The sequence below is a fragment of the Homo sapiens genome, chromosome 2 (genome assembly GCF_000001405.40).
Source record: "Homo sapiens chromosome 2, GRCh38.p14 Primary Assembly".
Taxonomy (NCBI): Eukaryota; Metazoa; Chordata; class Mammalia; order Primates; family Hominidae; genus Homo; species Homo sapiens.
In genome coordinates this window covers 195,644,113-195,667,643 of record NC_000002.12, presented here as the reverse complement: position 1 = coordinate 195,667,643, position 23,531 = coordinate 195,644,113, and the positions used below count along the sequence as shown (strand labels likewise).

At 40.6% G+C, this 23,531-nt stretch overlaps 1 protein-coding gene across 9 annotated transcripts in view, besides 4 other annotated features; it reads right to left on the bottom strand.

Moving 5' to 3' along the window:
• Nucleotides 1-23,531, bottom strand: part of SLC39A10 (solute carrier family 39 member 10) — a 124,672-nt gene that overhangs the window by 70,057 nt on the left and 31,084 nt on the right. For 3 of the 9 annotated variants that reach the window (XM_005246689.5, XM_011511507.3, XM_017004523.2), the window contains exon 1: nucleotides 10,035-10,418. The exons of 1 other annotated variant lie outside the window; for it this stretch is intronic. In XM_005246689.5, the coding sequence (XP_005246746.3) occupies nucleotides 10,035-10,386 (352 nt within the window). In that variant the 5' untranslated portion in view covers nucleotides 10,387-10,418. Of the gene's footprint in view, nucleotides 1-9,664; nucleotides 9,979-10,034; nucleotides 10,419-10,633; nucleotides 10,687-23,531 lie in introns of those variants that run through there. 5 more of the 9 variants (XM_047445143.1, NM_020342.3, NM_001127257.2 and 2 more) reach the window with 4 other exon arrangements.
• Nucleotides 9,650-9,749: a silencer, noted in NCBI's record as "silent region_12201". NCBI's record gives its function as "represses an Ori minimal core promoter by ATAC-STARR-seq in GM12878 lymphoblastoid cells {active_cell/tissue: GM12878}" and the evidence as "EXISTENCE:reporter gene assay evidence [ECO:0000049][PMID:35858748]".
• Nucleotides 9,950-10,069: a silencer, noted in NCBI's record as "silent region_12200". NCBI's record gives its function as "represses an Ori minimal core promoter by ATAC-STARR-seq in GM12878 lymphoblastoid cells {active_cell/tissue: GM12878}" and the evidence as "EXISTENCE:reporter gene assay evidence [ECO:0000049][PMID:35858748]".
• Nucleotides 10,100-10,149: a silencer, noted in NCBI's record as "silent region_12199". NCBI's record gives its function as "represses an Ori minimal core promoter by ATAC-STARR-seq in GM12878 lymphoblastoid cells {active_cell/tissue: GM12878}" and the evidence as "EXISTENCE:reporter gene assay evidence [ECO:0000049][PMID:35858748]".
• Nucleotides 17,282-17,361: an enhancer, noted in NCBI's record as "active region_16889". NCBI's record gives its function as "activates an Ori minimal core promoter by ATAC-STARR-seq in GM12878 lymphoblastoid cells {active_cell/tissue: GM12878}" and the evidence as "EXISTENCE:reporter gene assay evidence [ECO:0000049][PMID:35858748]".

Genomic DNA, 23,531 nt, shown 5'->3' with positions numbered 1-23,531 from the left:
ATATATTAACCTAAGGTATTACCATTATTAGATGTAGTATTATGTATCTTTCACTTAAATTACAAAAAGTATGGTGGAGGGGGAGGAGTCTCTCTGTTGTGACTCTTTTGAAAGAATGCTAACAAAATATTACAAGAGCACATGCATCGTTAGCACATCCAAGACCTGCTCTAGATTGCAGGAGGCACCCAATTCACTAGTATCTGAGCAGAAGTTGGAAAGACTCACTACACCTTACCAGTTTCACTGACATTAGAATATTCTTCAAGGGATAAAAAGTATTTTAGTAATGAGTTCTCAGCAGGGACCACAAAATCCTCTTACAGCTTCATGGTTTGCTTTTTCATCCCCCTACTTCACCAGCTATCTAATCTACTGGAAATCATATTCACAGTTTGGAATGCCACTGCAACTCTTCCAATAAATAAATAAAAGCACAGTTCAGGCAACCCAATCTTTCCACTGAGATTCATTCATGTAAAAAGTTAAGTGCATGCTAATTAAGCTTGGGCATTAACTCAGTTCTCCTGTTTCACTAACTTGAGAGAGAATATAAACATTTATACCTTGATTTAAAGTATCAAATCAATCAACAACACATCATATCTATCTTTATTGTATTCTATACATTCATGTACAAACCTACATTTTCTCATCAAATGTCAAAACAATTACCTGCATTTCTGCTTTTCAGCCTTTCATTACAGGGAACCTGGAACCATATTGGAGAAAGCTACCTGTAATATTGCTACCTCTGTTCTGCTATTTGTGAATACAAACATCTGAGATTAGTAAATGCAGTCGTTGGGATGTCTTTTGAAGCTACTAAAATGTTTATGATTTTAGTTACATGCATTATGAAGCAGACTTACAGTGCTAACCAGCCAGATGCAGTGGCTCACACCTGTAATCCCAGCACTTTGGGAGACCAAAGCAGGCATATGGCTTGAGCCCAGGAATTTGAGAGCATCCTGAGCAACATGGCCAAACCCCATCTCTACAGAAAATGTTTTAAAAATTAGCCAGGTGTGGTAGCCCATGCCTGTAGTCCCAGCTACCTGGGAGGCTCAGGTGGGAGGATTACTTGAGCCCGGGAGGTCAAGGCTGCAGTGAGCTGTGATCGTACCACTATACTCCAGCCTGGCAACAGCTTATTGTTCTCTTTCCACTCATCACTGACAGCTGTCTTTATTCTAAAAATAGCTACTGCTGCACTACCTCAAATCTTTATTATTCCATGCATTTTCACCCTTCCCTTTTTCAGTGTCTTGTCACTGTTATACATCCTTGATTTTATACCAGCTTGCCATTGTAAAAACTGCCAGCTAAAATGATCCTTCTTTTCCATGACGTCATGGGAAAAAAATAATCAAAAAATCTCCAAGTCAATCTTTGTATAACATTGACTTTTTTTATGTTTCAGACAACACAGAGGCTACTTATTCCCCAACATGGGAGCTTTCTGTCCAATTAATTTTTTAAAACTACATAAAATTCTTGAACATAGAGTCTTGACCACATTCCCCTTTCTTATATAGCTACATTCAGAAACACAGAGCTGGGGTCTTTTAATATATGCATATTAAATAAAAGGACAAAAAAATCAAGCTAATTATTACCAGAAAAAACAAAGTTGTGCAGGAAAGTAGTCATTTATTACAATGGCACATTGTATAAAATAATATTTATAGCATAAAAATGTAACCCCAATTACTGTTCTAAACCAAAATTACAATGAAAATTGTACGGAGAAACTGGAGTACAGGAAATAGGAAGGTATGCACAGAAGTGAAAGAGCACTAAAATCATTCTTCATTAAATAGATAATGGTTAGAACTGAAAATCAGCTGCAAGTAATGAACATGTTATCTGGAGACATGGTAATGAATAGCAAAATAATCAACTAAAGGAATTAAGGGGTTCCTTATCTCTCTAGGCAGAATATGAAAGGAACAGACAGGGGACTGATTTTTCCCCCCAAGAAACTTCACACAACTATTTGATTCTTTAAACTATATTCATGTATAACTTTGAAAAAAACCTAAAAGTTGGCAATTATAAATTAAATTTTAGTTGACAAACCAATAAAATAATGTCACATGTGGAAGAAAATGAATTCTAGCTTTAAGATTTTCACAAGCATTTGTCTGTGGGTTTTTCAAGTATTTATTTTTTGAGGCAGGTTTCCACTGTTGCCCAGGCTGTAGTGCAGTGGTGCAATGATAGCTCACTGAAGTCTCAAATTCCTGGGCTGAAGCCATCCTCCTACATAGCTGGGACTACAGGTGCGCAGCACCACACCCAGCTAATTTTATTTATTCATTTTTTTGACAGAGTCTCGCTCTGTCACCCAGGCTGGAGTGCAATGGCGCAATCTCTGCTCGCTGCAACCTCCATCTCCCAGGTTCAAGCAATTCTCCTGCCTCAGCATCCCAAGTAGCTGGGATTACAGGCACCTGCTACCACACCCAGCTAATTTTTGTATTTTTAATAGAGACGCCATGTTGGCCAGGCTAGTCTCAAACTCCTGACCTCAGGTGATCCAGCCCCCCTCAGCCTCCCAAAGCGCTGGGATTACAGGCGTGAGCCACCGTGCCCGACCTCACACTGGGCTAAATTTTTTGTCGAGATGGTGGTTTCCCTATGTTGCCCAGGATGGTCTCAAACTCTTGGCCTTAAGTAATCCTCCCACCCCGGCTTCCCAAAGTGCTGGGATTACAGGTGTGAGCCACTGCACCCAGCCTGTTTGCAGTCTGAAACACAATATGCAAACATTTTAATTCCAATTTGTGCTATTATCTTTGATTACTTGCTTCGAATGAATTCCAAGATGAGGGGAAAAACTATAAAAACTTTAACACTTTTCAGGTTTTGTCATATACTTACTTTCCAAATTGATTTCTAGAGAAATTAAGCTTGGTTATACTGCCACCAGCAGTATGATCATAGCACTCTCATTCACATTATTATAAATTTTTAAATAAATAAAAGGTCTTACTTTATTTTTAATTCATATTTTTAAAGTTATTCCTGATGTCTCAATATTTTTTCCAACATATATGAGCTTTTACATAACATGATTCAGTCACATTTTCTGCAAAAACCCTGCAGTTCTGTTCCTTTTTATTTTGATCATGTTTTCCCTTTCATGTATAGATGTTTTCATGTACATGCAATGAAACTTATTAAGGTTTCTGCAATTTCTTCTATGACTGCTGCTAAATTTTAAAAGTTTTTTCTCCCCATATTTTAGTGTATATTTTCTTATTTTTTTTTAAAAGAAAAGCTATAATTAAAAATAACTCCTAAAAAACTAAAACCCCTAACATCTATTTCTTTTTTAGGAAAAAGAAAAATGTCAGTTGCACTAACATCCAACACTTTCACACACATATCAGTTAACTAAAAAACCTTAAGTACTTGTGTTTACGCAAAAATCTTCACAGAAAAAGATTTAAGAATTTGTTTTAGAAATTATATATTCCATGAAATTATATTTACAGTGAATTTAAAGAACTTTTTTCTTAATATATTTCAGTGATTTAACTTTAGCATACCTTTCTGATTTTCAATTTTTAACTGGCATGATTATTTGCTTGAAAATAAATTCTATATGTACACTGTATGTGCTTTCATAAGATGTTATATACATTCAATTATTCACTTTATTTGGAAAAAACGGGAGAGAAGGAGGAGGGAAAGGGCTGAAAAACTAGTTGTTGGGCACCATGCTCAGTACCTGGATGACAGGATCATTCATGCCCCAAACTTCAGCATCACACAATATAACCCAGGTAACAAACCTGTACATGTACCCCCTGAATCTAAAATAAAAGTTGAAAAAAAAAAAAAGAAAAAAACTATAGACTATCCTAATTTAAAACCCAAATCTTTTTTCTGTTTTAATATACAATTTACTTTTCTCTTATTTCTTTTTTTTTCATAACTTCTATATTCTTGAAACACCATAAAATCAAAATCTTAAAAACAGTATATTCCAAACATTAAAAAATTATGAAAATATGATATGCTTTTCTAAAAAAGGTCCATGGGAATAGAAAACATGATCTCACTGCCTTATAATGTATATATACACAGAATACGTTATGTGTATATTATACTATCTTATTATTACGTTTTCTTACATTGTTTTACTGATCTCATTTTATAATGTAGTAACACACCATGTATTGTTTCATTTATATTGATAAAGTATTTAAATAAATCTTTCCCTAGCCCCTTTCATCAAGAAGCTATGTTCCTCTATAACACAGTGCAAAGTATATTTCTTCACATGCAAGCAAAATAATGTAAGGAGTCATCTTCAGTAGAAGTGCACTGAGTTAATATACCAAAATATTTGTTTAAAGGCCTGTAAGCATGCAGTTTTGAATTGCTTTATGAGGGGAGTGAGAAGATAGGAGGGAAAGGGGAAGGGAAAGAAGACATGAGACATAGGCGGCATAAAAATATGATCCATTTCCTGCTCTGAGAGAGTTACAAGGAAGACACAATCAGCTTTTCAATTAGAAAAGGTAAACTGTGAGAGAGCTACATAAGTAGCTACAAACAGTGTGACAGTTCGGTGGTAACCAACAGTTGAAGGCCAAGGGCTTCACATTCCTTTTCCGACTCCAAGCATAATAAAGCATAATTCCCTCTGCAGAGGAAAAATGGAAAGCGGAAAGAGACAAAAAGCTTCTCTACTATGTAGGTAAAGAACACCTGCAAATTCACATTACCTATGAATTGATCATTTGACTGAACATTTTTCTACTAAAGTATTTTACCGCAAGAGCAGCTATAGACAATACACACATCAATAAGCAAGTTTTGTTCCAACAATTTACAGAAGCAGGGATATTTGGCCCATAGTTTGCTGATCCAAATTTAATTTACAGATTTTTTTTTAAAGTGCCAATCCAGCAGACAATTATAGGGGAAACCACTATTTTAAAACTCAAAAATTCAAATATATAAAAGTGAATTTAGAAAAAAGCCTAGAGGTGGGAAGGCAAGGAATATCTGAAATTGTTTCTTTTTATTTATAGATATTAAAGTAATAGCATAGGCTGGGCACGGTGGCTCATGCCTGTAATCCCAGCACTTCAAGAGGCCAAGGCAGGTAGCTCACTTGAGTTCGAGTTTGAGACCAGCCTGGGCAACATGGTGAAACTCTTGTCTCTACAATAAAAAATACAAAACATTAGCTAGGCATGGTGGCACACGCTCCCGTATTCCCAGCTACTAGGAAGGATGAGGTAAGGGGATGACCCAAGCCCAGGAGGTCAGGGCTGCAGTGAGCCCTGATCTCACCACTGCACTCCAGCCTGGGGAACAGAGATACTGTCTCACAAAAAAAAAAAAAAGGGAACACCACAGTAGGATACATATCTCTGATGTTCTTACTACACTAAAAGTGACTGAGGTTTTTCTTCTTCCTTTATTCAATGAAAATCTAAAACCTAAAGTGATCACTGATTAAATCTTCATTATAGAGGATTAAAATTAACCTCCTTCGTAGTTCACAGTTCTTATAACAATACTTCTCGTCCTATGGAAGTACATAATGATATTAATAAGGATACATCCTACAACATTCTTGCTTTTCTAATCCCTAAAAATCTTAACGGGATGGGCTGTCCCCCAAAGTCGAGTATATAAAAGGGTAAAATTGATTAGAAATATTAATACAAGGATAAGTATTATCTGATACCTCCCTTTCAGCAGTATCTAAAAATGAGTAATTATAAAACATGATTATAAAAGGTTATGACAAAATATTTACTTTTAGATTGTGAAAATAAACACTACCTGAGCAAGATTTTAGATTTTGTCCTTATACTTGTACAAGCCTGCAAACCTGTATCACCAGTAGCATCCTATTCTAACATCTTTTAACATAAAAATATCTACCATTAAAAATCTATTAAATAACCACTCCTTGTATCTGGCAATCCAAAAAAACCCTTACGTTCTGATAGGAAAACAGTATTCGACACAGAATTACTGATGTGATACAATGAATTGTGTCCTGTTTTAACATGTCTGAACATTGTATGTGGTCTCCTAAGCAGTTAATTTGGAAATAATTTAGTATTACTGGCTGGGCACGGTGGCTCATGCCTGTAATCCCAGCACTTTGGGAGGCCAAGATGGGAGGATTGCCTGAGCCCAAGAGTTTGTGACCAGCCTGGACAACATGGCAAGATCCTTGTCTCTATATAAATAAATACATACTATTATTTAAAACTGTAATTTTGATTCTATATTTCTTCATACCTACTATACTTTTAAGCATTCCACTAATTTTTTATTGAGAATATGTTTGGATATTTTAGAAAAAGCTAAAAGTTATCCTGTGGCCTATCCATAGAACTTATAAGGGATAATAAAAAGAAAAAAAAGAGTTTGAAATACTGATATTGCAATAATCTAAATAAAACCTAAAACCTTAAGAGTTTGCATTGACTACAGAAAATCCTTTCTGTAAAGTAGATTTTGTAGAATGTTATCTGTTCATTGCCTTTGTGTAGTGGTATATTGTGTTATAATATCTGTGTGTAAACTGAATACTTGGGTTTCATTATAGTATTCACATAAAATAATATTAATGATATAAAAAAGGAAATCTTGTGGCTATGAAGAGGTCCTTGAAACTATTTTTTAAGAATCATTCTATAAAAGTCATAGAAAATAAATTCGAATTTTAAAAAAAAGCTCACAATGTAAATTTAACACTTTCAAACTTTATTATCAGTACAGTCAAAGCAATACAAAGTTATATGGAACTAAATTAATCTAGAAAGTAGATTTTTATATCATTCAAGATAAGGAGAAGCCCAGATTAAATATATAAAATTGTTGTTATTTACACAGCTAACTTCCCGCTTTGAAAACAATCCCATACGTAAATTTCTTTTTTGGAGCAAGGTAACTTGGTGATTGTTCTATCTCTACCCAAAATTCACCCCTATTTGGAAAACTGGGGGCTAAAAGCAATCAGAATTCACCAGTTCAAAAACACTTACGTCCATCTTATTAGCAACACTAACTACCCAGAGGAAACTAAAATAGACCAGATTTACAGCAGTAAGTAAATCTAATTGTAATTTAAACATTACCTTATTTTAGCAAAAGGTGAAGGGAATCAAACGCTAGGGGGCAGCATCAAACTGTTGTGGGTTAGGCTGGGCAGCCTTGCAAACTTTAAGCTTTAGGGTATTTTTAATGAGAATTACACTTACATAAAAGATGAATTATAAAACTTCCGTTATAAAGGAAAAAACTAGTTGTTTTGATTCCCTACATTTCTCTTCCATTTCCCATTGTGTACTTTCTTTTGCAACTATGACTGGTATCACTTTAAAATGCACTAGTAATAATGTCCTTCTGATACTAAACTCATGGCATTTCCAATACTGAGGTAAGCACTATATAAACACAAGCTGACATTTTTAGCCTAACCATAATGGTTAAGTTTTGATTCACTCAATTAGCATTTTAAACTTAATTAAAGAGCTTGACAAGCTCTGCATATTCATGTGTCATAAGCAGTATGTGACAAAAAAAACTGTGCAGTATGTACCCCCTCACGAAATTTAGTTTGGCAGGGAAAACAAGATGCACATGTTATTATAAATTAGAAAATGGAAGAGAAGTAGAAATAAATCCATGAGTATTATATATAAGTAACAGAACAAAAACAACAGGATAATGTATCCCCCCCAAAGGCCCAGTAGAGACCATCAAAGCTCATTCTGGGGGTAGTCAAGGAGGGAGTGGAGGGAGAAAAAGAACGCAGACCTTCAACCACTAATGAAAGAACTGAAACATCTGTATGTAGAAAAAAGGTAAAATCAACTCACTATCATCTTCAGCCTTTTGGTTATCTCATTTAATGGTCACAGTTAAGTCCGTGAGTAGGGTTTTTGTACTTGAAGTTCAAATAGAAGATTAAGATAAGCAACTTCCTCAAGGTAAGCAAACTAATTAATAGATCAAGGTTTTGAACTTTTAAAATTTCACTCCAAAGCCCTAAATTTTTTCCAGTATTGGTCAACACTGAGGGTAGAAGGGTTGGGTGAACAGAATATTAACAAGGTAAATTTCTCTAATCAGAAGGAAATGATCATCCCAGATGCTGAATTTTCCTTGCTATAATACTACATCCTATCTTCTCCAAAAATCACTTTTGAAAAAGGCACACCCCCTAGATTAGTACTTGCATACGACACTTGAGGCCTACTCAAAGTACTTCAAATCAGGTGCTCAAAAAAAGGGAAGGACCGTGTTAGCTTTTAAGCAGTTAGAATTTAAATTGGTAACAGTAAGAACTAGTATAGGTTATCATGCAATCTATTATTGATGTCATTTCCTATGAGGTCTTCCCCAACCACTTTTTTTAAAGTAGCACCAAAGTCATTCTTGCACAGGGGTTCTTATCCAGGCGTCTATGTACGGAACGCAGAATGTTTGTAAATATGGACAGGTAAAAAAAGAAAAAGATTTATCTTAACCTCTGACATTTACTTATCTCTTCAGTTACGAATGCAGGCAAAAATTACAGCGATGTGAAATACCTGATAGCAATTTTAGATTAAATTTAAGCCAAATTCTTTAAAGATCATTTACAGTCCTCACTAATGCTTTACTAAAATATAGATGTCATATTTAATATCTTCATTATTTCATAACTGGTTTCTGTTGCAATTCTATGTATTTCATACATTTAAAACCATCATTCTGTGGTTCATCACATAAAAAAGTTAAAAATCCATACCAGCACATCATTGTTTTATTTTCTTCACAGCACTTATCACTGATATTATATGTTTCCAGTAAGGAGCCACTGGAGTAACCAGTGTCTGCAGAATGTGCGTTGTCTGGCATGGATCCAAGATCTAGAAAAAGTAACTGACTCATATTAAGGTACTCAAATATTTGTACAATAGAGTCCTAATACAAAACAATACACAGGAGTCTTGACTTGAGGCTTTCAATTGCATACTAAGTTAGAAGGAACTAAGTTCTACATCTCCAGCTTTTCCATTACTTGCTTTTTCTTAATTATGTACAATTTAGATACACATCCAAAAAGAAAACAAATACAAACCTATTCTAGTTTTGCTCCAAGAATGACTCAGTTCCAATGTAAAATTAGAGGACTTAACAGCAAAAGGCATAAATAAAAGTTTCTTTTAAAAAACAGTATAACCTACCATACTTTTTGTTTTTTTCTAACATGTGTTTTGTGTCACTGTTACTTAGAATAGGTACTCGAGTGAACGACCCTTCCAACGGAGGGCTTCAGGTTCTGCAGTGATATTTCTTCCTCGTGCCAGATCCTTAGTACAGCCCATGTGGACAGGCTCCCACGTGAACATTTCTTTACAGAAGCCACAGGAAGACCTTGAACGTCATGTTGCTCGCGCCCTGGCAAGGCCCCCGCCCTTCTTAGCTGGGGCGTTCGAGGGACCCCAGGAGAGGCAAGGAGTTCAGCAGATTCCCAGACCCGGAGAGGCGGTGCGCGAAGGTTCCTCTACGCGATCCCCCTGCCGCGCCCCACATCGCTCTCCACCTAAGGGCTTTCCGGAACAAAGCCGTGCGGCCGCGCCACCTCCGGCCCACCCGGCCTGTCCCACCGACCCGGCCCCACCCTCACCCTCAGCTCCAGGGACCCCCAGCAGGCCGAGATCTTCACACCCCCGCGCTCCGCCTCGGCTTTTCGGTTGGTCCGGGAGAAAACTAGTAGGAGCAGAGGCGCCGCCGTCCGTTAGCCTCGGTCCGGAACAGCGGTGCCGAGGCTCCATCCCGGGGTCCCCTCGCCCCATTACAGACCAGAGAGAAGGACTGGAGAAGAAAAAACCGGGGCGCTGGTCGCCAAGCCCCCGAAGACCTGCCTACAGATCCCCAAAGCCTCGCCCGCCCGCGCCTGCGACGCCATCCGCGGCCGGCGCGCAGCCCCCTAACCGCCGCCACCCGCCCAGCGGTCACTCCCCCACCCCGGGCGCGGCCCGCGAGGCTCCGCCAACCTCCACAGGAAGGTGAGGGGGGCGCGAGGCTCCGCACGCGAAGTGGATGCCGCCGGCTCCCGATCCCGCGGCCCGCAGCAGCCCAGACCGCACACGAGGAGCCGCGGCGCCCAACACTCTGCCCACCACGCGCTCTGCTTCGGCTGGCCGCCGCCGACTGCAGCAGCTGCGGGAACCCCAGCGCCCGCATCCCCGAGGGAACCAGCCCCGACTCCCCGGTTCTGTTCTCCCTTTCTACCCCCACGCCGTCCCGGGACTCGCAGTCTCCGCCGCGCACGGGGCCGGTTCTGGGGGAGGGAATGTAAACAAATCGGGGTTTTATAGTTACCTCACACTCGAGTGCCGTGTGCATCTCCTCTCCGCTCGGTACCAAACCCCGGCTGCACCAAATCGTGTATTCACCAAAGCAGACTGCGCTAACTGCGTCGCAGAAACCGGCGCGTCTGACACCCTGCTACGCTTGCGGCGTACAAGGTCCACTCAGCTCCCTGCGCAGCCGCACCCCGTCCGCCTATGGGTGCTACGCTATGGGCGTACACGCGCCACCTAGCTATTCACTTCGGATAACGCCAGTTGCGTAAAGGAGTCGCACTACTCACGGATTCCACATGGATCGTCCGAGGAATAGGAAATTCAAGTCTACGCAAACTGCGGAGTTCCGTGGCTCCGCGCTAGTTTTGTTCCAAGAAAGAACGCCGCGGGGGAGTTGGGGCGGCTTCTTAACGCATGCGTGGAGCGCCCTTTATCATTCGCCTTTTCTCCTGGCTTTCGAACGTCGGTTGCTGAGGCCTTGGGCAAGGCGAATGAGTAATGGAAGCTCTAAACCCAAACGCTTTAGCCAAAAAGCTTCAGAGTGATCAACTGGAATGTTCATCTGTATACGAGTTAAACATCTACGTTAAGTTAACCCCGCCCCCTTTGTTAAAGTAACCTTTTCAGTCTCTTAGGGCAACAGCGAACTTTATTTAGTGCTAAGTGCGAGGTGTTTTGCCTAGCTCCCCTTCCCACCCATTTAATTCTAAAGCACACTTACTGCGGGTCTTCCAAACCTAAAAGAAAAAGTTGAGTCCTGAGAACATGTCACACATGTAGAGAAATTCTCGAGGCTTTTGGCAACTTTCCAAGGTCTTCACTCCTCTACTCCTCAACTGATCGACTATTTCTTAACACTCTATGACAAAAAAATCCCGATCCAGCCAAGCAGTTCCATGGACTTGTGCCTACACCGTGCTCATTCTTGCCCTTTGCTCACGCCATACATCCCATCTAAATTGTCTCCTCCCCTCTTAAGCAACCACCAACCCACATTTTCTTAAAAGGTGACTCTGGACGTCTTATTTTTGCTTCATTACTCTGCTTCCTGGCTCTTACTTAATCCACATGTTGAGGCGTATCTGCATTCCGCCTGGGGTGCCTGTGTTTCTATATCCAACCAGAATCTACTTAACACAGCGAGTTCTGGGGGTGCCTTACTGGTGTCTAGTAGAGAAAATAAAACCATGAACAGCAGTAATCGCAGGCTTGACTGTGTGTCAAGTACTCCACATATATATTAATTTAATCACCATAACACGGTGAGGTAGGAAACTGAGGCACACAAGACTTTAACTTGCCTGGTATCACAGAGCAGGTAGAGAAAAGAGTTGGGATTTCCAAACCCATTCAGTATGGACGGCTAGGTAGTCCCGCTAACCTGCATATTATACCTTCATGAAAGAAGGTTATTTTTTGTTTTGTATCTCTACAAAAAACATCCAAAACAACGAAAATGGTGCTTGATAAATGCCTACTGATTGCCATACGTAGTTCAGAACACTGAACTACTCATATGCCCTTTTCCTTGTTTGGAAAGCCAGAGCATGGACCTCACTCCTGCTTACAAAGGGAGAAGTCCTGAGGTGTGGAGAAAAGAGATTAAGCCTGAGTCCTAGTTTCAAGTCTCACCATTGCCACTAAATGTGAGACAATAGCTGTGGTCCTCAGATTCATTGATAAATTAAGGGGATCGTTTTAAATATATTCTAAGGTTCATCCTAGAACTAAAGTCCTTAGAGTTCATAAAATCATGATAGTACATCCTTTGTGTGCAAAGCATAAGAAGCTTCCAAATTAGCTTGATATTTTATGGCTCATACTTATTTTATTGAACACATTATTATCAACACCCTTAAAACATACATAACCTTTCTTTCAAATATCAATAAGATATAGCGCTTGCAGTCCTTACATTTTAGGGCACCTACACTGCTTTTTTAGTTATGGATATACAAGGCTAATGTTCAGCTGGTACACACAAGTACGGCTGAACCAACTAATCAAATACTGAAATACTTCAATGCAAGTTGGTTAACAGCTGCAACTCTGAGTGGTATCCCCCCATGCTTCTCACCCCTGTGCCAGTCCTTCCTCTCAAGATTCCCCAGACCTCCACATTTTAGGAACTAGTGGGTTAATACCTGGCTAAGATAGAGCCCTTTGGACCCAGCTCTTATTAGTCACTCCCATTCTACTTGGTTGGTGCCTATTCTTTACTAATTGTTACATATTTTAAATGTCATCCCTATAGAAAACTATGTGGTAAGCAACTTGAAAATAGAGACTGTGTCTCCTAACACTTTTTAAACTCACCCAAACATTTATTTACTTTCAAGTGTATACACACTGATTTGGGCAGATTTTCAAGCAAAATTATCAGATAGAATAAATGATTCTCTGCATACTAGCATATTACTTTTCCTACTGAGAAAAGGAATCTCAGAAAATGACTTGCAGGCTTACACAAAATCACCTGCTGAGTCAAATAATGGACACTACAGCAACAATATATGAATTTCATTTTATCTTTACCAGTTTTATATATAAGAAATATGTTAGGGTAAAGACTTTCTAATATGTTATAATCATAAAACTTTCTGAAAGTGTAAGACATTTTCTTTTTCCAGCCACCTCACTTGATTCATAAAGAAGCTCATCTCAACTATAAAAATAGTATAAATGATTTTCAGTACCTGGGGGAAAGAGAGGTACTGAATTATGTGTAAATGGTTTACCTTTCACTGTTTAGCTTATTCATGCTGCTTCAGCCACAATATTAGTTCACATATCTAAAATTTCAAATGTGACCAGTCTACCTTTGTGAGACATGATATAGTAAATCCAAGGGTCTTTTTGCCCCTCAGAGGATTTGAAAAGAACCAACTATTAATACAAAAGAGGAAATAAGAAACCTACTTCATACCCCAATCTTTAGCAGTGGCTGAAGGAAGTCCATGTCATAAACCTGGGTTTCCCTCTTACAGAGGAGAAAATAGTCATCATACACAACAAAATTAAGAGTCTTTAATGAAATCTATAAAGAACATGACTAATTCTGCCAGGCGTGGTGGCTCACGCCTGTAATCCCAGCACTTCGGGAGGCTGAGGTGGGCGGATCACCTGAGGTCCGGAGTTTGAGACCAGCCTGTCCCACACGGAGAAACCCCATCTCTACTAAAAATACAAAATTAGCCAGGCTTGGTGGCACATGCCTATTATCCCAGCTACTTGGGAAGGCTGAGGCAGGAGAATCGCTTGAACCTGGGAGGTGGAGGTTGCGGTGAGCCGAGATCATGCCATTGCACTCCAGCCTGGGCAACAAGAGCAAAACTCCGTCTCAAAAAAACAAAACAAACAAAAAAAAGAACACGACTAATTCTAAGAAATCAGGCCTTTCAAACTCACTTGTTCTTTCCGTGATTCAAGATTAGTAATAACCAATGATAAAGACCCCTTCCTAAATTCATCTCCAGTTTAAACTGTTACTTTTACATGGCCTAAAAGTTTACTTTAGACAAAGCTATGCCTAGAGAGGCTGTGAACCAAAAATAAAATTTTAAGCCTCCCAACTAACTGAATGGTCACTTCTTCTTTGCCAAGGGCATTCCAAAGTTAACCTGAAACACTAGTACCAGGCATGATGGGAATGGATGGTTAAACATGCCTCATTATATTCTCCTCACTTTAAAATTCAGGCACAGGCCGAGTGTGGTGGCTCACGCTTGTAATCCCAGCACTTATGGAGGCCAAGGCGGGTGGATCACCTGAGGTCAGGAGTTCGAGACCAGCTGGCCAACATGGCAAAATCCCATCTCTACTAAAAATAACAAAAATTAGCCAGGCATGGTGGCGGGCACCTGTAATCCCAGCTACTCGGGAGGCTAAGGCAGGGAGACTCGCTTGAACCCAGGAGGCAGAGGTTGCAGTGAGTTGAGATTGTGCCATTGCACTCCAGCCTGGGTGACAGAAGAAGACTCTGTCTCAAAAAAAAAAAAAAAAATTCAGGCACAGATGACCAGTATTAACATTAAAACAGACCTTAAGACTGATGAAAGAGACTTTTTGTAGCAATGATACCAACATGACAGATAGCAGGCTCTGAAAGAATTCTAAGTATTTTTCTCCAAAATATATTTCTTTGACATGTTTTGAAATGGCCTTGCAAAACTGTCTCTTGTGGGAAACATCTACATTCTATAGAGCAGCAGTCCCCAACTTTTTTTGGCACCAGAGACTGGTTTCCTGGAAGACAATTTTTCCACAGATGGGGGTGGGTGGGGATGGTTTTGGGATGAAACTGTTCCACCTCAGATTATCAGGCATTAGTTAGATTCTCATAAGGACTGCACAACCTAGATCCCTCACATACACAGTTCACAATAGGGTTTGTGCTCCTATGAGAATCTAATGCCACCATTGATCTGACAGGAGGTGGAACTCAGGCAGTAATGCTCACTGCCTGACACTCACCTCCTGCTGTGTGGCCCCGTTCCTAACAGGCCATGCACCCGAACCAGTCTAGTGGCTGGGGGACCCCTGCTGTAGAGAATCCCCTTCCCTTTCCAAGTCTCTTCCCTGATCCAGGAGAGAATTAACTGAGTCTGGCGTCTTTTAAAGTCTGGTAAGAAACACAATTTATTCTCTCTGAAGCCTGCTAGGTGGAGGCTTCATCGGCATAATAAGAACCTTGGTCTCCATAACCCCTTATCTTTTTTTTAAAATTTTCTTTCTTTTTTTTTTTTTTTTTAAGATGAGTCTCACTCTGTTGCCCAGGCTGGAGTGCAGTGGCGAGATCTCGGCTCACTGCAACCTCTGCCTCCCAGGCTCAGGCGATTCTCCTGCCTCAGCCTCCCGAGTAGCTGGGATTACAGGCACCTACCACCACGCCCAGCTAGTTTTTGTATTTTGGGGGAGAGACGGGTTTTCTCCATGTTGGCCAGGCTGTTTTCAAACTCCTGACCTCAAGTGATTCACCCGCCTCGGCGTCCCAAAGTGCTGGTATTACAAGTGTTAGCCACCACGCCTAGGCTAAATTTTATTTCTTTTCTGACTACTTATCCCCAAGTTCTACATAGCCCCTTATCTTAACCCAGACACTCCCTCATATTGATTCCAGGTCTGTAGATAAACTATTTCAACCAACTGCCAATCAGAAAATCTTCGAATCCACCTAAGACCTGGAACCAGCCCCTGCTTCCAGTTGTCCCACTTTTCTGGACCAAACCAATGTACATCGTACATGTATTGTGTCTTATATCTCCCTAAAATGTATAAAACCAAGCTGTTGCTTAACTACCACCTTGGGCACACATTCTAAGGATTTCCTGGGGTTGTGTGACAGGCCATTGGTCACTCATGTTTGGCTCAGAAAAAAATATCTTCAAATAAGTTACAGAATTTGACTCTTTTCATTGATGAAGTCATTAGGAGTACAAGGAAGACTAAATTATATTGCTGTACCAATGTGGTGGGGTGTGGGGATATTAAGTACCAGAACAGGTGTTAAGATTTGGAAAAGGGGGCCATGGGCAGTGGCTCACACCTGTAATCCCAGCACTTTGGGAGGCCAAAGCGGGTGGATCACTTGAGGTCAGGAGTTCAAGACCAGCCTGGCCAACATGATGAAAACCCATCTCTACTAAAAATACAAAAATTAGCTGGATGTGATGGCAAGCGCCTGCAATCCTAGCTACTTGGGAGGCTGAAGCAGGAGAATCGCTTGATCCTGGGAGATGGAGGTTGCAGTGAGCCGAGATCATGCCCCTGCTTTCCAGCCTGGGTGACATGGCAAGACTCTGTCTCAAAAAAAAAGAGATTTGGGAAAGGAAGATGTCAGCAATATGTAGGTAAAATTCCAAACTGAGGCCTCAAACTTAATAGCTACTATTCATTTTTAGAGACTATTTCAGCCTGGGGATTGAAGCTCCAGCTCTAAAACTGATGCCAGAGATATTTAAAGGATACAAATTATTTCCATTATTCGAGACCTGTGGCACTGTGTAACATCTAACACGGCAAACACACTGTCAGAATGGGGAAGTTGGACCCATGCGGTAGTCTTTTTCTGATCCCTGAGAAATTATGGCTCTACCATCTCATTTTTGGCAAGCTCTAAAGACTAAGGTAGGATAAATGGGCCTTTAGAAGTCCATGGGAGTTCTCACTAGAGGAGCACAGCTCCCCTTATACTCCTTTCTAAATAAAAAAAAAAAAACATTTTTTTTGAGACGGGGTCTCATTCTGTCTCCCAGGCTGGAGTGCAGTGGTGCAATCACAGCTCACTGCAGACTCAACCTCCCAGGCTCAAGCAAAATCCTTCCACCTCCCACCTCCTTCGCCTTCCCCACCCACAGTAGCTGGGATTTTTTTTTTTTTTAAACTCCTTTCTAAAGAGCAAAAATTGCATATCTGGGAAGGCCATCCTCTTCCACAGACCCCACCATTTTGAGATGGGCACACGAAGGCAGGGAGAAATAAACCAATACAACTCTGGTGAGGGACAAACTTGTCTGATGCGCCTGAGATCATTCTGAATTGGTAGGCTTGTGCAATAAAACCGAGTTTCAGGCTATTTGCAGAGACAAAAATAGATTGGAGAAATGAAACAATTGACACAAAAATTTAAGCAACTTCTCACCCAGGGGAGAAAAATTAACTTTTTTATGATCTGCCTACATGATCCTAACCTAAGAATAACCAGAACCCTTAGTTTAAGGGTTTGTATTGCCATGGCAATACAAATAAAAGGTGTTAGCATTAGGCATCTCTCCTGGAAGACAGACAATAACAGAGAAGCTTAAAGCCTCTGATTGACCATGGCAAGTCCTTTCGAAAATACAGATGAGACCAGGCTCAAGAGAAAGAGAAAGACCTACTCAGAAGAATGAACAAAAGCAAAAAACTCAGAGCCAGAGCCAGACTAACACGTTGACCACACATTTGCCCACGTCATAGTGCCATGAAGACTTCTCACCCTAAACCAATTTTTTTCTTTTCTTTTTTTTTTTTTTTTGGAGGAGGAGTCCATCTCTGTCGCCCAGGCTGGAGTGCAGTGGTGGGATCTCGGCTCACTGCAAGCTCCGCCTCCCGGGTTCATGCCATTTTCCCACCTCAGCCGCCTGAGTAGCTGGGACTACAGCTGCCCACCACCATGCCCGGCTAATTTTTTGTATTTTTAGTGTACTTGCCAATTCCTACAATTACACAGTTAGCATTTCATCCCTGGGCCTTGAAACCGGAAGAACTTGGAGGGAAATTGCTACAGTTGTATTACCTATTTATACCTCCGTGAGAATATATTTTCCTTAGGTTTTTTCTAAAGAGGAAGTTCTAAGAAAAGAGAAAACACGGTTGTCTAGATTCTTGAGGGTAGTGTGGTACAAAGGGAAAGAAGAAAAACTGTAGACAAATTGCTAACTTCTCAATCTTGCTTCCAGGCAAGCTCATTCACTCACAGAGTAGTAAGATGAAGAAAAACAGGTGTGGTAGGTAGCCATTTTAGGTCGTTTGCAACTCTACTGGCACAGCAGAAATTGACTTTTCAGAACATAACTCCTAGTCCAAAGGAATTAGAAAAAAGTGGCATAAATATCCACATGAATATGGCAAACTTCAAAAGTATTTGTGGGTGATTACACTTCAATTTAAGGAAAACTGTCAACATGGAAATGAATTAACAATAAGTTACCACGTAAATTTTTTTAAAAAGGCTCATTTGTTAAACTGGTTGAAATTAATACATCCATTTTAAAATGTCATCACATAAGATCAAATTTCAAATTTTGCCTAAGGCTTTAATTAATAAGGTGACCCATTTCACACCTGACATTTATGAAAATAATCAAGTACATCTTCTAAAATCAAGACACACGTGTTCTGTCTTAGCAAATACTGCTTACCTTTATTTCTTAAAAAATATTTGATGGCAACAATGCAGCAAAATTCTAAATATTAGGGAAGGCAAGAAATGAATTGTCAAAACAAGAATAGCTTGCAGGGATTTCTGAATTTTTCTTGTACTATTTCTAGGTAAAGCTTGGATTATATTTTGTATTTCATACAATAAGCCACTTTCACATTCTTCATAGAATCCCATCTCTTCTTTCCAGCACATATCTTTTTGTTGTTGTTGTCATTCTTTTTTTGTTTTGTTTTTTCAAGCACACGTCTTTAGAGAAGATTTGGAAACTTCCTAATGTTTCATGAGAAATGCTTCTGGCAGTGCCCGGTGGTTAGCGACCCATCATGCTTGGCTTTTTCTTTCTCATAGATGATCTCACCTACAGCCTCCAATGATTTCATCACACCCAAGTTTCATTTTAATTACAACGACAGTTGCTTTCTCTAAGCATTTATGTTTTACAATCTTCCTTCCCACCCTAACCACATGAAGCGGTATTATTTAAAATGTGCCAGGCACCATTTAAATGCTCTAAATGGAACTCATTTAATTCTACAGTAACCCTCTGAGGTGGATATTACTGTGTCTATTTCACAAATGAAGAAAACTGAGATGGTTACATAAAATATGGCAGAGCCAGGATCCCAGGCTGGCTCTAGAGTCTCTGTTCTTAACTCTTACATTATCCAACCTATTTTTATTTTTGTTTTTTTGAGATAGGGTCTAGCTCTGTTGCCCAGGCTGGAGTATACAGTGTCACTATCTCTTGGCTCACTGCAGCCTCGACCTCCCAAACTCAAGTGATCCTCCCACCTCAGCCTCCTGAGTAGCTGGGACCACAGGCATGCACCACCATGCCTGGCTAATTTTTGAATTTTTTGTAGAGACACAGTTTCATCATGTTGCCCAGACTGGTCTTGAACTCCTGGGCTCAAGCAATTGGCCGACCTCCATCTCCCAAAGTGTTGGAATTACAGGTGTGAGCCACCATGTCTGGCTGTTTCTTTTTTAAATTACCAACATTTTCAGAGGAAGTGGTATAGAAATTCTTGCAAAAATAGTGACCTGTGCACAGTCTTGATATAAGAAGCCAGATAAGGGCCGAGTTCAGTAGCTCACCTATAATTCCAGCATAGGCGGAGGCCAAGATGGGAGGATCGCTTGAGCCCAGGAGTTCAAGACCAGTCTGGACAACATAGCGAGACCTCTTCTGTACAAAAAAATTGTTTTAAAAATTAGATGGGCATGGTGTCACACACCTGTGGTCCCAGCTACTCGGGAGGGTGAAGCAAGAGGATCACTGGAGCCCAGGAGGTGGAGGCTGCAGTGAGCCATGATTTTGTCACTGCATTCTAGCCTGGGTGACAGAGTGGGACCTTGCCTCAGTAAATTAATTCATTAATTAAATGAAATCCATTTGGAGGATTAAAGGTACATTTACTTTTCAGTCCTTAGATTTATATGACTCTACATCCTCTATAAGTCTGTCTTGGAAAAAGAGACACATAAATATTAAGGGATATATCTTTAAGCAAAAGTTTGTGCTTCTCAGTTAATAGGGTTGCTTTAAAAAATAGAAAGTTTGTGTTTTTATTGTGTGCAAGCCACTCTGATAAGTAACTGATACAAGGGTGAACAAATGAGAGGCTGACCCTTAAGTTGCCTGTAGTCTCGTGGTGGTGGTGGTGGTGGTGGTGGTGGATGGTAATTAAAGAGATAATTACAGTATCGCATGGCAAGTGCTATGTTAGATATAGGTATAGCTTGCAACGGTAGCAAAGGCCAAAATTTGGGGATACACTCAGGCTTCCCAAAGGAAGTCACATCTGAAGTCTGACTTATGGATGAGTAGTAGAGTCAGATAAAAGGCTGGGAAAAGAGCAAACAAGCAGATGAATGAGATGAGTGAATGCCTGGTTTTCAGTTTGGGGAAGTGAAACACACAATCTTGTTGTGTGTTTTGGGCATGGGGAGTTGGGAGAGATGAGACAGGACTGGTAAGGAAGGCCTTTGTGTATCACATTAAGGAGCCTGAATGAGTCTGAATGCTACCCTGAGGGCAACAAGGGCCATTGAAGAATTTTCGGTGGGCAAGTGACGTGATCATGGGCAAGAAGGGAAATCATATTATCATACGACTAGGGTGGTAGACAGAATAATGCCTCCCCCATAAAGACATCCACATGCTAATCCCTGGATCCTATGAACATGTAGATTACATGGCAAAGGGTACAAAGGCTGGAGATGGAATTAAAGTTGCTAACCAACTGACCTCGAAATGAACAAATTAGTTTCAATTATCCAAATGGGCCCGATTTAATCATAAGAGACTCTAAAAATGGAAGAGGGAAGAAGAGGAGAGTCAGAGGAAGATAAAGAGAAATGACACTCAGAGAGATAAAATGATGCTGAATAAAGGGAGCCACAAGCTAAGGCAGCAGTCCCCCAACCTTTTTGGCGCCAGGGACCAGTCTCCTAGAAGACACTTTTTCCACAGATGGCAGGGGGATGGCTTCGGGATGAAACTGCTCCACCTGAGATGATCAGGCATTAGATTCTCATAAGCAGTGTGCAACCTAGATCCCTCACAGGCACGGTTCACCATAGGGTTCGTGCTCCCATGAGAATTTAATGCTGCTGCTTATCTGATAGGAGGCAAAGCTCAGGCGGTAATGCTCGCTCACCCTCCGCTCACCTCCTGCTGTGCAGCAGTGTTCCTAAAAGGCCCTACCGGCCTTACCGGGTCTGTAGGGGGTTGGTGGTGGGGGGAGGTGGGTGGGGGGTGAGGACCCCTGAACTAAGGAATGTGGGTAGCCTCTAAAGCTAGAAAAACAGGAAATGGATTCCTCCTTAGAGCCTCCAGAAGAAACGTGGCCCTGCTGACACCCTGGTTTTGGCTCAGTGAAATTCGTGTCAGACCTACAGAGCTGCATAACAAATTTGTATTGTTTGAAGCCACCACATATGTGGTAATGTGTTATAGCAGCAATAGGAAATTAAAACAATTAGGAAACTGTGATAGGGACAACCCATGTGAGAAGTGACAGTGGATAAAGAGAAATTGTTGAACTGCAGAAGTTTCAAGAAGATAGAATTGCTGGGCACATCAGGGTACGCTTAAGTAAATAAAAAAATAAAATAAAAAGAATTGTTGAGTGTGCTGGCTCACATCTGTAATCCCAACACTTTGGGAGGCTGAGGTGGGCGGATCGCTTGAGGCCAGGAGTTCAAGACCAGCCTGGGCAACACGGCAAAATCCCATCTCTACAAAAAATTCAAAAATTAGCCAGGCATGGTGGTGCACGCTTGTAGTCCCAGCTACTCAGGAGCTGAGGTGGGAAGATCGCTTGAGCCTGGAGGTCAAGGCTGCAGTGAGCTGTGATTGTGCCACTGCACTCCAGCCTTTTTTTTGACACAGAGTGAGACCCCATCTCAAAAACAAACAAAGAAAAAAAGATAGAATCAAATCTGAACACCATCTCTTCTAACTTATTTCCTGTGGCTTTAACGTGATCATTAAGCTTCATTTTCAGTACCTGTAGAATGATCAATACTTTGCAGGATATTGTTTATTTTAATTTTTATTTTTTTGATCAAGGTAATACATTAACATTAGCTTTGGAATTCAAATAGAAATACATGCTACAACATGAATTAACCTTAAAAACACTATGCTAAGTGAAATAAGCCAGACACAAAAACACAGACATTATATGATTTCACTTCTATGAGGTATTTAGAATAGGAAAATTTATAGAGACAAGAAAGTAGAATAGAGGTTACCAGAGGGTTGGGTAGAAAGAAATGGGGAATGGGAAGTTAATGTTTAATTGGTAGCGTTTCTGTTTGGAAAAATGAAAGTAAAAAATCAAGCACTGCAATAAATACAAATTAAACAAATATACTATCTAATGTCTATAATGCTCAAGGAATTGAACCATATTATAGTACGTAAATGATTTTATAAACCTAGAATTTTTCAATGTAATTTTGAGAATAAGTTTCCAGAATTAGTTTGTAATACTCTCCCTATATTTTAAATAGGAATTTCAAGTACAAGCAGTAGCTTTGTAGCTGGAACAGTTTTGAGATTACCAAAATGTATAGGCAATGACATTAGCCAGTATGATGCTGTTATACCTCTGCCCAGCACTCATTTTTTTTTTTTTAAATAAAGTAGTTAGATGGCCAGGCGCGGTGGCTCATGCCTATAATCCCAGCACTTTGGGAGGCCGAGGCAGGCGGATCACCTGAGGTCGGAAGTTCGAGACCAGCCTGACCAACATGGAGAAACCACGTCTCTACTAAAAATACAAAATTAGCCGGGCGTGGTGGCACATGCCTGTAATCCTAGCTACTAGGGCGGCTGAGGCAGGAGAATCGCTTGAACCTGGGAGGCAGAGGTTGCGGTGAGCCGAGATCACGCCATTGCACTCCAGCCTGGGCAACAAGAGTGAAACTCTGCCTCTAAATAAATAAATAAATAAATAAATAAATAAATAAAGTAGTTAGATTGGTCATGGGTGAGGCAACTGGGCAAAACTTGAACATAATACAAATGTGATTTTCTTTTGTTTTCCTTTTTTTTTTTGAGACAGGATGTCTCTCTGTTACCCAGGCTAGAGTGCAGTGGCGTGATAAAGCTCAGTGCAGCCATGACCTCCTGGGGTCAAGTGATCCTTCCACCTCAGCCTCCTGAATAGCTGGGACTACAGGTCAGTGTCACCACACGCAGCTATTTTTTTAATTTTTTAGTTGAGGGGCCTGTGGCTCATGCCTGTAATCCCAACACTTTGGGAGGCCGAAGCGGGCGGATCACAAGGTCAGGAGTTCAAGACCAGCCTGACCAACATGGTGAAACCCCGTCTCTACTAAAAATACAAAAATTAGCCGGGTGTGGTGGTGCATGCCTGTAATCCCAGCTACTCAAGAGACTGAGGCAGGAGAATCGCTTGAACCCGGGAAGCAGAGGTTGCAGTGAGCCGAGATCGTGCCACTGCACTCCAGCCTGGGCAACAGAGCGAGACTCCGTCTCAAAAAAAAAAAAAAAAAAAAAATTTATTTGAGACAGGGTCTTGCTATGTTGTTCAGGCTGGTACTGAACTCCTGAGCTCAAGCAATCCTCCCACTTCGGCCTCCCAAAGTGCTGGGATCACAGGCGTGAGCCACCAAACCCAGATTTTCAAATTAATTGGCTCCATTCCAAAACGAATCCATCCTCTTGGAAGGAAATTAAAAAAAAAAAAAAAAATGAATGTACATTTAACCTAATTAAATGTTCA